Source organism: Homo sapiens, chromosome 17 (genome assembly GCF_000001405.40).
Source record: "Homo sapiens chromosome 17, GRCh38.p14 Primary Assembly".
Lineage (NCBI taxonomy): Eukaryota > Metazoa > Chordata > Mammalia > Primates > Hominidae > Homo > Homo sapiens.
This window is the reverse complement of record NC_000017.11, coordinates 37922790-37938467: the sequence shown is the minus strand read 5'-3', so window position 1 is coordinate 37938467 and position 15678 is coordinate 37922790. Positions and strand designations below refer to the sequence as shown.

The 15678-nt window shown below is 57.4% G+C and overlaps 1 protein-coding gene across 7 annotated transcripts; it reads right to left on the bottom strand.

Moving 5' to 3' along the window:
- Window positions 1–3096: 3096 nt before the first annotated feature.
- TBC1D3K (TBC1 domain family member 3K) lies at window positions 3097–14932 on the bottom strand. 7 transcript variants are annotated; one of them, XM_047435092.1, is made up of 14 exons: window positions 13898–14053; window positions 12397–13754; window positions 12149–12234; window positions 10826–11048; window positions 10263–10343; window positions 9712–9819; window positions 9273–9382; window positions 7970–8018; window positions 7306–7426; window positions 6498–6592; window positions 6048–6113; window positions 5485–5584; window positions 4962–5114; window positions 3097–3980 (listed from the first exon to the last, which is right to left on the bottom strand). In XM_047435092.1, exons 2-14 carry the CDS (start codon window positions 12466–12468, stop codon window positions 3412–3414), a joined length of 1833 nt encoding a protein of 610 aa, XP_047291048.1. In that variant the 5' UTR covers window positions 12469–13754; window positions 13898–14053; the 3' UTR covers window positions 3097–3411. The 7 variants fall into 7 exon arrangements, with proteins under 7 accessions (XP_047291048.1, XP_006722299.1, NP_001278393.1 ...); XM_006722236.2 differs by having other exon boundaries at window positions 12397–12469; NM_001291464.2 differs by having other exon boundaries at window positions 10826–10865; window positions 12397–12469.
- Between the last annotated feature and the right edge of the window lie 746 nt (window positions 14933–15678).

The window sequence follows — 15678 nt, the reverse complement described above, 5'->3', positions numbered from 1 at the left end:
AAGGGGTCTCACAAGTGTTCTTGTGATCCAGGTGGCGAGAGGATAGAGCAGAAAGGTTGCCAGGGAGACGAGGGTAGGGTGCACTGCGAGAGTGGGAGAAATTAAAGAGAACACGCAACAAAGCCTTGGGACACTGGGAGGGGGATGGACCACCCAGTTTTGTGCTATGGGAGAAGAGAGCAAGAAAAGGAATCTGTGTTAAATCCCGACAGCCTGCAGGAGAAGCAAATGCCCTTCATTTTCTTCATCAGCAGCGAGACTGGCATCCCTGTAGCTTTGAGAAACCATGCTAGTGTAGATGCCAGCTCCCTCCAGCGGGCCTGACTGGGAGAACTTGGGCTGGGGTTCTGGTCTGGGGCTCCTAGGCCTGATGGGAAGAGAGTTCAGCCCAGCTTTCCTGTACTTCAGCTCGTATGCAGATGATGGCCATTGTTGAAATGAGAGACTCAAAGGAAGCTGGAACCTGAACTTTTTTGTTGTCTTGTGGACACCTGTGTTCAGTTTCGGGTTCTACCTCTTGCTGTCTGTGTGTTCTTAGGTGACTCACTTAAACCTTTCTGAGTCTCATTGTCTTCATTTATAAAATAAAAGACGTAACATTGATGTCAGATATTGTCCTGAGCATTAAATGGGAGAATAAGCAAGCCTCTTCTGCATTCCCCTGGCATCCAGTGGGTGGAGGCCAGAGAAGCTGCTAAACATCCTGCCAGGTGCAGGACAGCCCCCATCGCAAAGAATTGTCTGGCCCCTGATGTCAGTAATGCAGTATTGAGGATCCTTGGTGTGGGGGAAACAGAATAAACTCAGAAGCTTGGCAGATCTCAATTCAAACCCCGGTTGTACGGCCTCCAGCAGGCCTTGGTCAGGGAATAGTATCTAGCTAAAGTTCATTGACTTCATTTTGTTTTCATTGAATTTATGTTTTGCTGGCTTTCCATTTATGAGAGTGATACAAATTTCCTTTAAACATGAAGTTGTAAATATAAACAGGTAGGCCATTCACAGGAATGTCTAAATTATGTCACAGGAAAGGTGGCACTCTCATATGGCAATAATTATGACAGAGGCCGGCAAATGACCTGCGTGACCCGGAGTGGCCTGAGCACTGACTCCCAAATGCCCTCCATAGGATGTTCTGCATCCCCGAGACCCTTTCCTGGGTCCTCCTGGGCCCTACCACCCCCTAGACCATCCAGACCTCAGGTCATCCCCCTGTCTGTTGACAGAGTAGTCTCCGTTCCTGAATGTGCTGGTCACCAGCAACAGCAGCTGCTCCTCCTCCGGGAAGCTCAGCCTATACTTCTACATGCAGAGAACCTGGACGGCACCCAGGTGGACCTAAGCCTTCAGCTCCCAGTAGACGCTCTGGGTTTCCTACCCTGCCCAGACACTCTGGGCTTCCCCCGACACCTCCCCTCGGCCGGGGCTCCTGTGTGCATCTGTCTCTCCCAGTGCCCAGCACAGGCGTGGAACGGAAGAGGTGAATGGACCGATTTGAACACATCATCCTGGATTCTCCGTTCCCTCTCAAGCCCTGCAGCTAACCCATCGGCAAGCCCTGGAGGCTCTGCCTCCAAAATCCTGCCTATCCCATGTGCAAACGCCTCTCACCATGTCCACTGCTATTTGCAGTTCTGTGTGTGTGGAAATACTTCCACAAATTTGGAATGAACAGGTCACGGCTGTGCCTGGAGGGAATGGCCAGGGAAATGTGCCCTCGCCTTGCTGTTCTATCCAGGCCCACCCAGCTGAGGATGGGGGACCTGCCACCACTCTCCTGGCAGTTCCGGACTCCTGGGAACCGGCAGGTGAGGACCCAAGAGTGTTTTCAGTGACCCGGCTGACCTGGTCATCCGTCAGTCCCACCTTGGCCTAGGCCTCTATACAGCACAGATCACAGCTCATTCCATCCTGGCATTACACTGGCCTGTGCCCTGTCCTCAGGGTCACATCCGTCTCCCAGAAGCCGTGCAACCCTGGAAAACCCAGGTCTAACAGTCAGCTTCCTCCTCCGTGCATTAACAATGGCGTTGACGCCTGCTTTGCGGCACGCTGGGAGGGGAGAGGGAGGTGTATGCTGGAGAGCTCCCCAGGGGCAAGGCCTGGCTCTGCGTCACCCACTGTCAGATCCTGAGAGCCTGGGGCTGGCCCAGCACGTGGCCACCGTTCCCTAAGAGTTGGATTTCATCCCTCAGTGCTGAAGGCAGGGGATAGAGCTTAGACAGACCCCCTGCGTCCTGTCTTCTTTATCTACAGCTTTCTCATCCTTGCCCCTTTCACGTGCACCCGGCAGAGCAGGTGTTCACTGAGCTTGAGCAAAATTCAAGCTAGAGCAGCTGATGGATCTTGAGGCCTAGATTCACTGTCAAAGTGTTTCTCAAACGGTGCTCTCCAGAACACCAAGGAAAACTCATTGACTGTGTAAGTCTGAAAATCCCTGCCCACCGGTCTACCTTTGTGTATGAGCAATCAGCTCTACCATTCAGCCCAGGTGTGTGTTTGCTGGACCATGTGGAGGAAGCTGAAGAGACGTGAGCTGAAGGCAGAGGGTGAGTCCAAGGTGGGATCTTGGGACAGGTACGAGAAGTTAGGCAAAAATGGGATAATTCTAGCCTTCATAACCTTAGATAATAGTTCACATTATTATTTAGTTAATAGAACTGTACCCACATTAAATTTCTTAAATTTTTTTAAGAGATAAAGTCTCACTCTGTCACCCAGGCTGGAGTGCAGTGGTGCAATCATGGCTCACTGCTTCCTGGAACTCGTGGGCTCCAGCAATCCTCCTGCCTCAGCCTCCTGACTAGGTGGGACTATAGGCACACGCCACCATGCCTGGCTAATTTCTTTGACTTTTCTCTAGAGACCGGGTCCACCTAGGTTTCCCAGGCTGGTCTCAGACTTCTAGACTCAAGTGAACCTGAACCTCCCGCCTCGACCTCTCAAATTGCTGGGATTACAGGTGTGAGCCACCACACCCGGCCTAAATTTCTTATGTGCCATGGGACTGCAAAACATCATTATTAGGGGCAGCTGGATGGAAGGTATAGGAGGATACTATAGTGCCTTTTCAATATTTCTGTCTAAAATCTAAAATCATTTCAACAGGAAACATTTATTTCAAAACATGAAGGTGGTTATCCTTCCATGAGTTTGAAGTACAAAGGCAGGCTCACGGTGTCGTCAGAATTCAGAACGATGGTCGTGGGGCTGGGGGTGCTGGGAGGGGCTGGGCATGGTTGGCTTTGTGATCTGGGGTCTGGTGTGTTCCATCTCTGAATCTCTCTCGAGCTGCACTCTTTCTTAATACATTTTCATAAGTTTAACCAAAAATAAAACGAGGATGCGAAGCTTGCTTGGGTTGTTAAGCCTAGGGAAATTATCCAGCCATGAGCCCTGGCCCAGATGCTTCTAGAAGCCTGGAGGGAACTGAGAACTTTCCAAGTGGAGGCCGCAGAGGCAAGGCCCTGAGGTGGGAGCACACTGCTGTTCGTCCCTAGCTCTGAAGGGGGTGCCCTGGTCGGAATCAGTGCTGGGTGCAGCGAAAGCCGATCTCACCCGCTCCGCAGGGTGTTCAGCCTGCCAGCAGGGGGCCAGCTGGTCCTCCTGGGATATGGCACGGACCCAGCAGCTCTGCCTGAAATCATAATGGCGGAACCAAGGGCCCTCTACGTCCAGGTCCGTTGGGAGGCGGGGCATGGAGTTCCACTGCAGGAATCTCCAGGAACCCTGAGGTCCTCCCTGAGCCAGGGCCGGGCTGGGCACACCCTGAGTGCCCACAGGGTAGGTGTCTTCCCGGACAGCCCCACCAGGACAGGGTGTGGAAGAACGAGGTGCCCGTGGCGGGGAAGCTGACCAAATGGGCCGCGGGAACCGGGCTGGTGGGCCTGGAGGGGCCTGCCTGTCCCCCTTGCAGAGGGTCTTCCCGCCACGTGAAGCCGGCACAGGCCTGGATGCCGACGACCCTTGCTCGGGTTTGGCTGAAAGGAAAACAGACGCGGTCAGCATCTCCAGTGAGCCCACGCAGGCCTTTCCGGGCTGGGCCCCACCTGCCTGCGTCTCTGGAGTCCTCGGGGTCTCTGTGTGGCCCCCGTGGCCTGACACCGAGGACACGCCTGTAGTCTGCTGATCCCAGAGGGAGGGGTGCATGCTGCCTGGCGTGGGGAAGCTGTCGTGGCATGGCGGGTGGCTCCTGGGACTGCCCCCAGGGTTCAGACTGGCTGGGGGCTTCCTGCCACACACCTTCGTCCCAGGGCTGTTGGGCCTGGGATACGGCCCCCAGTCAGAACTCAGGTGGGAGGGGCCTTGGATGTCACCCAGCCCCTTGTCACCTCACGTGGGGACCCGTCTCCGCAGTGGGTGATTGGGCCCGGACGTGGGTCACCCTCTGCCCTCCTGGGCTGCCCAGTCCATGCCAGGACTGACCGTTCCCACTTCTGGCTGAACTCTTGGCTCTGGCTCTGGGCCCGGGGTCCCGCCTGTGCCCTCTCCCTGAATGCTCTGTGGGTCAGGGACACGGATTCCCTTGTCTCCCTGGCTCCAGGCTTCTTGTCCTGGCAACCTTGGAGGAGCGTGCAGGAGTGAGGGGCCTCTGCTGCTCTCTGAGGCTGTGGGTGCTTGCAGGGAGGGGCGGGGTCTCCCACAAATGGGTCTGGGCTCGTCTAGTAACTTGGAGGGCCCTGCGAGGGGGAGAGGGAGACACCGTGGAAAGTGGGAGGGGGCTTGTTGGAGGGTCTTGCCCACATCCCCCTCCTGCGTGCACAGCATGTCCAGTATACACGCACTGAGCGCCTGCCCTGAGGACCGGTGGGCCTCCTGTACTTTCTTAGAGTCCAGGAGGAAGAGGAGGAAGAAAAGGTGAAGAGGAAGGCCCAGGTAGTAGGGTTGCGGGTCCCGGGCACTCCCCTACTACTGACTACCCCAGAGGGTGACATGGGAGGGGACATGGCACTGGAGCCCACCTGGGGGTGGCAGGTCCCCCTTCTTTCTTGTTAGTTTCTTCATAGAGGCCCTAAGATGCTTGAGCACAGTGTCCTCATCCCTGGCCCAGGTATCAACGAACCGGTTGCAAAAACGTGCCCACGGGCCACACCTGGACGTCTTCGTGAGGCGCTCTAGGGACAGGGTGGATATCAGGCCAGGGGAGTTACCTGGGAATGGTCACAGCTCATACCCCGTGGCCACTTCAGTCTCCTACTGGGCAGTGCCGGATCCTTTTGTGGCCACCCCAGGTGTCCAGATACACACAGGAGACTGTGGCTGGGGGGCGATCCGGACAGGGAAGTGCTCACCACACTCTCGACTTTCATCTGGGTCATGTGGGGGATGGGCTCGGTGTCACAGTGTCCTGCCCAGCCCACCTGGCCAGACCTCCCTCTGGGCCAGAACAGAGGATCATGAGGACAGTGTGAGGAAGCTGCCCTCGGGCCAGTCGGGGTCTGACCCCAGGGCTCCCCAGGCCCCGCTGGGCACACGTAGACTTACTCTGCTGAACCTTAAAGGCGATTCTTGTTATCGGCATCAACGCCTGTTCGCCTTCTACCAGATACACGTCCCACAGGCGCAGGGTGAGCCCGAGAGAGATCTGTGGGGACAGCAGGTGTGAAAGAACCTGGTCCTTCCAGGCTGGGGCTGGTGGCTCGAGCTGCGCACACTGGGGCTTCAGTCTCCAGAGTCAGTGACCTTCCCCATGAGGGTCGCCTGAGCCCTCCAGGACGCTGGGTCAGACAAGGTCTTGAAGCTCCTCATGGGGGGCACTCATTTGAGTGGGGATGTGGCTCCTGGAGAGAGGGGCTTGCCCAGGGCTTGAGGCCTCCCTGAGCCCTCTCAAGTCGGGTCCTGGCCCAGTCTGCCCATGAGGCTGGGCCTGAGCCCCAGCCATGGCCCTGGGATGACCCCCCTTGGGCAGAGGGTTTTGCTTGTGTGTCCTTTGGGGACCCGCCTGAGCCTCCTGTGGGCTGGGAGTGAGCCAGACCCCCGGGCTGGGGAAGCAGGGCACTGCAGGGCAAGGAAGGTCCCTGAGCCAGGGTCTCCCTATGCCTCCTTACCCCGTCAATCAATATCCGGATGAGGCAGCCTAACGGGGAACACTGCCCACATAGATCTTTCTTGTCCTGATGGAAGCAACAGAGGTGCTCAGGCCACTGGGCTGCCCTAAAAACCTCCCTCTTCCAGGGCCTCTGAAGACCCTTCCCCTAGTGCAGAACACTGGGCGGTGTCCAGAGCTCCCCACAACACTGTCACCTTCCCACACTCCCGGTGGACACACTGCCCTTTGCCCTGCTCTGCGGGAGCTGGGCCCCCATCCCTGTGCCTCTGTCTCCTCCAGGGCAGGAAAGGAAACCAACTCCCAGCCCATGGAGAACCCGACGTCCCAGGTCAGGCCCTGGCTGGGACTCAGCCAGTCACCAGCCCCACGAGGGGCTCCAGCCCCCCTGCTCCTACAGCCCCACGGGAGGCAGGGCCTCTGGGAAGAGCTGAGGGGACCATAAACTCACCTGATGCCCCATGGTCTTGGGTTGTGACGTGGCTACCACATGCTCCTGTTGGTCTTGGAGCCCCTGGACGGTCCCGCCATTTGGGCTGTGAAATCCTGAGAAGCCCCCAGCCCATCATGAAATCAGAGCCTTCCCCCAAGATGTGGAGCCATCAGCTGCAAGAGCTGGGCAGCTGGAGAGGCCCCCAAACCCCAAGGCCTCCCACCCTCCCGTCTGGTGACCCCAACATGCGGCCTTTACCCTGGGGAGGTGGGGCGGGAACATTCCCTGGAGCCTGGCTGGAGGTTCCCCTGGAGGCCTCCTGGGCCAGGGTGCAAAAAGGGCAAGCCTGACTTTCAGGCCACGACAGGGTGGCCGGAACTGGGTGGGCGCTGGGCTTCCCGGTCATCTCCTGGTAGTGGGGTCGGGCCAGGGAACAGGGGATGGGGAGATGCTGCCACCTGGGCTTGGTCGGCCCATTCGTGGGCACCGATGGCAGCAGGAGCCCGGGCAGCTGGAGGGCAGGAGGACTCTCAGGGAGGGGAGAGTCAGCTGCACAGAATCAGAGCCGGAGGGCGTGGCTCCAGGACACAGAGGGTGGCCACGGGGAGGATGAGATGCCCTCTGCTGATGGGGATGAGAGGCGTCTGATTTGGGCTTTGGGGGTCAGCCGTGGACTCCTGTGGGACCCTCAGCAGAGACATTCTAAAGTCTCCCAACAAGCTGGCGACACAAGGAGGGTGCCTTGGCTGAAAGCTGTGATCACCTGGCCAGGGTGGCCATCCCCAGGTCTGGCTGCAGGAGGTCCCCGGGGCAGCTGTTCACTTACCCTGCAGGGAGTGCCTCTCACTGGCCAGCAGCTGCACCAGTGCCCAGAATGCATCCTCCTCAGGAAGATAGAGGAGGAACAAGGCGGCGATGTGGCTCAGGTCCCTGCAGTAGCCCACCTCCTGCAAGAGCCAGAGTCACCATGGAAGGACATCACCTGGGAGGGCTGAGGTCACCTGGGAGGACTCATGTCATTGGAGAGGGCAGAGGTGACTGGAGAGGCTTCCTCTGAAGGAGAGACTTCCTCTGAAAAAGAGGCTTCCTCAGGATGCACATTCATTTCATGACAAGAGCCAAGTCCATCAGGCACTTCAGCACCTTGTCCAAAATGTCTGCTGATAGCACCATCCTGTGTGCGATGCTGCCAAGCTCCTGGGCTTTGGGGCAGCCCCAGGAGGAGGGCGTCATTTCTTGTTCTGAGAAGTGGTGGTCAGGCCCAGGTGACACCAGGAGTCCAGGCCCTGACTCCTTTGTGTCTCAGCTTGACCCCTTGAGACCACCCCCTTCCTTGGAGGTTTATGCCAGCGGTGAGCTGACATCCTACCTCCTATATCCTGGTGGGTCACAAATACTAACTTTAAAAGAAGCAACGACACCCCCACCAGACACCCACTCCTGTCAATATGGAAATATGGCCCGGGAACCTCACTGCCGGGAATACTCACCGGGTTATACTCCTCATATGCCAGGAGGATGTGGAGTAGTTCCCGCTGCCTAGGAAACAGAGAAAGGGGGCTTTGGTTTGTTTTGTGCAGATGTTGTTAATTTCACTTTGTCTACAAAGCCTAACAGCAAATCCCATTTCAGGTTCAGATGTTTCACCAGATAAGCAGTGAGCTCTTCAGGGCCTGAGACCCTTGAAGAAATGTTTCAGTAAAATCCACATCTGTGACATGCAAATAGCCCAGTTGTACAGTGACTTGCCTGATCCTTTTCACTCTGAATGATTTTTTTTTTTTTTTTCAGTTTGCACACACGCCAGTTCAGTCTGTGGGTGTACAGTTCCTCCACGGTTCCAAACCGATGTGCAGAGTCTCCCGGCCACCGCTCCAGCCCCTCCTGGGGCGACTCCTTCATCCTCCAAGTCTCCAGGGTGGCCCCTATGCACCCAGCCTCTCCCCGATCCGTCAGCCCCTGGCCACCCAGACTGCTTCTCAGTCCCTGTGGTTTGGCCTTTTCCAGAATGGCCTAGGAATGGGAATCCTACTGTGGTAGCTTATTGGGTCTGGCTTCTGTCCCTCAGCAAAATGCATCTAGGATCCACCCACGTTCGTGCGGGCATCACCGGCTCGTTCCCTTTTCTCACTGGGTCTTCCGTTTGAAGGGAGGACCAGCCTTGCTCTCCCCATCCCCGTGTTGAAGGCCGTCCCCGAAGGCTCCGTGTGTGAGTGACGAGGAGTCAAGCAGTGAACCTGGCATGCTGGTTTCATGTGGATGTCAGTTTGCAAATCAGTGGGTTCAATATCTGTGACACTTTGGGGATGTGTGGTTCAAGTCCATCGAGCTTTGTGAGCCACTGCCCAACGGGCTGCCAACGTGGCTGTGCCATGTCATGTTCCCAGCGGACCTGGATGAGAGTTTCCAGGACCCCTAATTCTCCCAGCATTTGGTGCTGTCACTGTTGCCTGGGGGGGGCTCATGGGCCCTCTATCCTGCCACCCTCCCGTGGGTCCTACCATGGGTCCCCATGGGTCAGGGAGAGCACCCTTCACCATTGTGCATGATTTTGTTTGCTGCCTTCCATCTCCTCAGGATCCTCCTGGGTTCTGGCCCCACATGTTCCAGTCTGGCCCAGGGCTTGGAACCAGGGAGGTGCTCGGTTCATGGTGCCGGCTGCTCCCTGGGCCGGGAGAGCTCTTGGCAGCTGTGTCATCCCTCCTGGGTGACCCTGGCTTCTGCTCCGGGGAAGCCCCCATCCCTCTCATTCACCCCATCTCTGCTGGGACCCTGTGGCTCCCGTAGGCTTACTTGGTTCCGTATCGATCCCTGAAGAATATATGCTTCCTTAATGTCCCGCTTACGTCCCGGTCGATGCGCTGGATGTGCTCAGATGACTTCTTGCCCTTCTCCTTCATGATCTGTAGGGCAGGGCCAAGAGGAGGAAGCAGTCTCAGAACAGATGGAAGACTCCCTGCCCCCAGTGGCAGTCAGCCCACAGTCAGCACTTCGGGAAGGAAGGACAGAAGGAAGGTTTCCTTCTGCAGAAAGCTGCATTTTGGCTTGTTACTGAAGCCAGGGAGGGTCACCAGAGCTGAGTTTGTCTGTGGTGACTGTGTCACCATCTGTGCCCAGGGTGTTCATCTGACCTTCACCCCCAGCTCCCCAGGGTGGTCTTGACGTTCCCTCCAGCTGGAGACCTGGGCCCCGACACGGCCTGTCCTGTTTGTTGTGCTCTGGCTGAGCGTACCTGGTATCTTCCGGGGTTTTTCAACTTCATTTCCTCAATGTTCAGGAGGACTGACCACATCGGGCCCCGGATGTTCATGGGCATTCCCTTGTACGCTCGATCTATGAGCTGTGGGCAGAAAACGATCTGGTGTCACAGGCCACGGGGTGACCCCAGTGAGGACCAGAGCCCGGGGATTCTGGAAATTGTCGGTTTTGGCCCCATGATTCCTCAGTAGAGGTGAGATCAAGCTGGGACAGGGTCTCCCTTCCCAGGACTGAAAGAGTGGATGGACACTCAGAGTCGAAACTCTGATCTGAACCTTTTCCTTCCTTCAGGTCACCAGGGCATCCCTAGCCTTGAGCTCCGGGTAGTCCCAGCCCTAGATTCAGATTCCCTCCCTGCAAGGTGACGCTTGCACGAATAGGCAGGAAATCTGGCGACCAGGCCTGCAGTCCTCTGGGCGAGGACAGTGTGCCGCCCACCCTCTGAGAGGCTGATGGTGCCAGGCCACAGCCATGGGTGCCTGTCCCCTGTCTCTGCAGAGAGTGCTTCCTCCCTCCACACGTTACCTTTCTGCTGCTTTTGTATTTCTCCCAGTCTCCCAGCATATCCACCCACTTGCTCTTTCGGCTGATCTCCCGCCGAATTTGCTGTCAAATGAGGCATGTTGGAGTTAGCGGAGCTGCCAGGCTTCCCAGAGCCGCCCGCGGATGCTGGGTCTTGGGCTCTGGAGCCCTGGTGGGAGCCAGCTGGAAGGAGCCAGGGAAGGGCAGACCTCAAGGGCTGAGAGCCTTTGAGCAAATGAGCACCAGTGGGCTGGCTTTGGGACCCCGGGATGTACCATCCTCAGGCCACAGACACACCAGTCTTAGGTCCCAGCCTCTAGGTGGGGTCCTGACACAAGCGCGCAGCCACCCCCAAGCCAGGACTGTGGTTCTCCTTTTGGAATTTTATCAAACTGCCAAAGTGAACAGCAACCTGGGGTCAGGTCCAGCAGGGACTGCTGCCCCTCCCAGTGACAGCGTGTTGCCCTCACCCGCCACCGCTCAGGCCAGCTGCTTCCTCTGCCTCACTGACCACCCGCCCAGTCCCTACGTCCCTGGACCAGCCCCTCCACGCATCAGGCTCTTACCTTCGCCTCCCGCGCAGTCAGAGGAGGCAGCTCCGTCTCACTGTAAGGCAACCCAGGCAGAGCTGAGGAACTGCACGGGGCCTGGAGCGGCCCCAGCCTGGGTGCCGACCCCCAGAAAGGACTGGCTCTGTCCCTTTCCAGCTCAGGGCTCAGCCCAGGAGAAGGCACAGGGAAGGGAGGACAAGGGCCTTCCTGTGGGGCTGACTCCCAGGAGGGGCAGGACCTGGGAGAAGAAGGAGTGTAGGGACAGCCTGGCCGGGGTTACTGGGGCCCCTGGCGTGGGGGGCGGTCAGGCTGCCCAATGGGGCTGCCCGTCCTGGACTCGAGGTGGTGCTTTCTGCTGGAGCTGAGAAAGGTTAGCCCTGAGATGGGATGGGGGCCGCCCAGGGTGGGCGACCGGGCCCTGACAGGAGTCCCTCAGGGAGTGACCACATCCCCCCGCCAGGGTCAAGGGAGCCTGCCCTGAGACCTGCCCGGTGTACTCTGGCTGCACCAGGGGCCCACCCCACTTGACAGCCCCAAGGCCCTTGCAGGTTCTGACCTCCCAGCATCCACCTGCCTCTCCCTGCACCCGAGCCACACACCCTGCGTTTCAGAAGTGGCACGGCTCGTCAGCTCCCTCCCGCCCTACCTCCCCAGGGATCCTCTGTCTCTCCATCCTGTGATCCCTGAGGGATGGGCTCCTGGCTGGGCTCCTCTTACCCGGCCCCAGATCCCTTCCCAGCACCAGACCCAGGTCTTTAGCCGCGAGCCCTGCTGCCTCCCTGGCCTCACCGTGAGATGCCCAGAACGGGGCCCTGCCCATCTTCTCCCCCGTTCTCCTAGGGCTACAGCCCCCATTGTCACCATGCCTTTTCCCCTCACGGGACAGTGAGGGCTGTAGCTCTAGGGGAATGGGGGAGAACAGGGGCAGGTGGGCCCTCAGAGACCTGCTGCACAACAGCCCTGAGGCTGGGCCAGGAGTCCCCTCACCCTGTGGCCATAACCCTTGCATCTCACCGGGTTTGTCTCCAAGTAGACAGGGCCAGACCCTCAGGCTGCCCCGCTCCTCTTGTGCTCACTTGCCGACAGAACTGCTGAGCGCCCAGGGGCCTGACCTAGCCCAGTCTCCATTCCCACCGGCTCCCTAGATGGGCCCCACACCTCTGGCCTAACAACCTCGGGCTGGACCTGCAGGGGAGTCAGGGAGGAGTTCTGTCCCTGGAAAGGAGGTTGACCCGACCTGGTGAGACATGTCCTGCGTCAGAAAGGCCTTTCTAAAAGCAAACCCATCCCTGAGCTGAGACAGGTGCTTTAGGGGTGAGGGGAGTGCAGAGGACTCACTGTACAATCCCCAAATGATCGACGTTGTTGTTGTAGCTTCGAAAAGGCTTAGGCCCCTTGTCCTCTGGCAGCCCAGCTCGGTGTCCCTGTAGCCCAGAGGGAGCCTTGGTGAGGGGTCCAAGGTAAAGGGTGCAAGGGCCTGGGGGCATTGGCCACCCGTCCCTGCCCTGTGCTCCTAGGGAGCCCAGGACCCTTTGACCAGGGCACACTGGAAGAGGCCTCCCTCCAAGAAGCAGACCGACTTGTACCTTTTCGTATTTCATAATGATGTCCTCTCGCTCTTGTGCCCACCAACTGCCCGCGACCTCTACCACGTCCATCCTGTGAGACAGAATTGTCTAAAGGTCACACCGTACGCGGCGGCTTCGGAGAACACCTGAACCGCTCTCGCCGGGCTCCCAGATGCTGGCTGGCTGCGTAACCCCCATTCCACCGCCGCCCCCAGGGAAAAAGGGGCCAGACCCAGTGGCCCACAGCTGCTCCAGTCTCTGGAGTCTCAAGTCCCAAGCAGGGGTGGGCATCTTCCCAAGGACTTGAGTACAGTGGGACCTAGACAGAGAATCCTGTTGTCCCCCAATGCCATGAAATGGGGACACACCGGCCCCAGCAGGTTGAATGGTTTCCACCTGCCAAGGGTGAAGGGCCCATGATGGGCTATTCCAGGGATGTGGAGGCAGACTGGGGTCAGCGACCAGAGGTCTCTGTGCAATCGGCCTCCTGGGATGCTCAGGGCCTCAGCGATGCCCAGTTTCCTACAGGGAACAAGATCTCTCCCGACTGCTCGGTTCTACTCCGCTCATCACTTTGGCTACCGTGGCTCTTCAGTCTGAACAGTGAAGCCACTTTAGGAATAACGCCTGTTGAGCAGGAGGGTGTTGGGTTTGGGGGATGAGGAAGATCTATTGTACGCATGGAAACCACGTCTCTCGCGGAGGGACTGTGGAGTCCACCATTCTGAGCCGTCCCAACAGGAGGAGGCTTCATTTTCCTGGGTCACTGAGGAAGAACAGTGGGTCCTTGGTCCTGGAGAACAGCTGGATGGACCGTCCCTCCTGGGAATACTCGAGGCAAAAGGAGGGCGAGGCCTCAAGAGGACCACGCAGAGCAAGAAATACCTGGGGAGAACCCTAGTGCCCGGACCCCTTTGAACACAAGGGAAGATAGTCTCCCCTCAGCCAGCCCTCCAGGGCTCCTTCATTTTCCACAGCTGCCCAAGGGCAGCAGGCTCCCCCGGACAAGGGACCATGTGTGTTCAGTGGGGCCCACAGCGACCATCAGGACCCAGCTTAGGGCACAGAGGTGTTCTGAGGACCGTCAGTGGATCTGTACCAGTGGCTCTATACCAGTGGCTCTGCCAGGACCAGGCTCTGCCCCATCGGGATGGGAAACCTGGGCAGATTTGGGATCTAGGGCAGGGAGGTCACAGGGTTCAGGCCTGAATTCCAGCACAGCACACGGCAGGGCTGAGAGCAAAACTCAGGGTCATGTCCGGATTCCCAGGCCGGTTACTGCCTCTCTGACCCCAGACGTCTCATCTGTCGAATGGGGACATTTGGGAACAGCACCCACTCTACGAAGCCACCATGGAGACGAAAGAGCCAATCGTCTACACGGGCAGTGTAGAACGGGCGCCTGGTGAGTGCTCAGGGATGACCCTCCTCGGTAGCTGCCCCACAGAGGCCAACACCGCCCGCACCGTAGCCACTGCCCCCAAGTCCGCCTGGAGGGAAGAGAGCAGGTCACGCTCACCTGATTCTGATGAATCAGCTGGCCTGGGTCATGCCTCTCAGGGAGAAAACCTTTGAGTCCACAGAGCTGCTCACAGATACCACTGCCTGTGTGTAACTGCTGTAGACCACTGACGCAGGCCAGAGAGCAGATAGGTGCTAAGCACCAGTGACATTCTGAGGTCATGGCACGAATCACAGTGGGGCCTTGCCCGGGTCAGCAGTGCCCAGAGTCAGGGTCCTCCGCTGCCTGAGGCGTCAACATGCCTGCCTGCAATGTGTTTGTGCACGTGCGTGCACATGTGTATGTGGGTAAACACATCTGTGCACGTGTGTGCTGCTTCTCTGGCCAGGCCCGGCTGCCCCACTCATGTGTGCACCCAGTTCCTCATCACTGTCACCCCCGAGGCCCAGGGCCAGCATCAGAGCATCCATGGCTGCTCCCTAACCTCAGCCCTCCCTGCCCAGGGTGGTCCTGGGATACACATAGCGGTGGAGGGAAGTGACTGCTGCTGTTGGATCTCAGAATACAAAAGCTAGTACTATTACCTAATGGTCTTTTTAGTGTCTCTAATGGTATCGCTTTTTCATTTCTGATATTTTAACTGGGTATTTCTCTCCATGACCCTTGGATATTCTAGCTAGAGGATCCTGTGGGGAAAGTGCCGGGCACACAGTAGGGGCTCACTCTTCTAGACATGTTATCTAAAACCTGGTTCATCTGTCCTTCCACACAGGGCCTAGGGGATGCCAAATTCCAGGGGCCAGAAAGAGCTTGGGATAAAAAGAAACTTCAAGGGGACGGCTTTGACCTGGGCTGAGTCTGCCTGTGCCATCCAACTGGAGTCTCAAGTCCTGAGGCAGGACGTCCAGATGCCCCAGTGCAGGGTCCTCCTGATCAACACCTGCTCCCCTGTACTCATTAGCAACCTCACCCACCCTACTCTCAAAGCACACTTGGCTCTCGTATCCAGGAGCTCTGCATCTGTAGATTCAGCAACAGCAGATGGAAAATATTCAGAAAATAAATTGGACGGTTATGTTTCTATTGAACATGTGCAGACTTTGTTCTTGTCATCATTCCCTAAAGAATACAGTATCACGACCATTTATGTAGCATCTGCATTGTATTACACATCATAAATAATCTAGTAACGGTCTAACGTATACGGGAGGATGCGCATAGCTTATACGTAAATACTAGGCCACGTTATATCAGAGACTTGAGCATCCATGGATTTTGGCATTCCCGGGGACCCTAGAACTAATCCTCCATGGATACCAAGGGATGACTGTATAAACTCACTCAGGAAGGCTTCTCATTGGAGGAAGGGCCCGGTTCAGGACAGACAGGGACATCATCCCTGGACTACTGTCCATCCATCTATTCATCCATTGGCACCACCCTCTAGGACTGTCCCAATGACAGCCCTAGCAAGTGGAGATAAGAAAAAAGACTGGCTCAAATGGTACAGCTTTGAGGTCTTGGAAGATGTTGCACCAGTATGAGAATAGGGGGTCAGTTTCCTCCAGGATCCAGAAAGCATATCAGGCAGGCTCAGGGAGAGGAAAGGAACACGGCCTCTCCAGCAGCCACACAGGCCTGCAGTAGGATGGGGCTGGGGCTGGGGCTGGGGCTGGGGCTGGCCCCGTTTATCACTTGGGCCTCATGAGGGGAAAAGAAAGAACAGGGGGCAGAGGAGGAGCATGGGGGCAGCGGGTTGCCTAAGGAGAAGGCGCCTCAGGGAAGGGGTATTAGTTTGTTTTCACACTGCTATAAAGAAATACTTGAGCCTAGGTAAT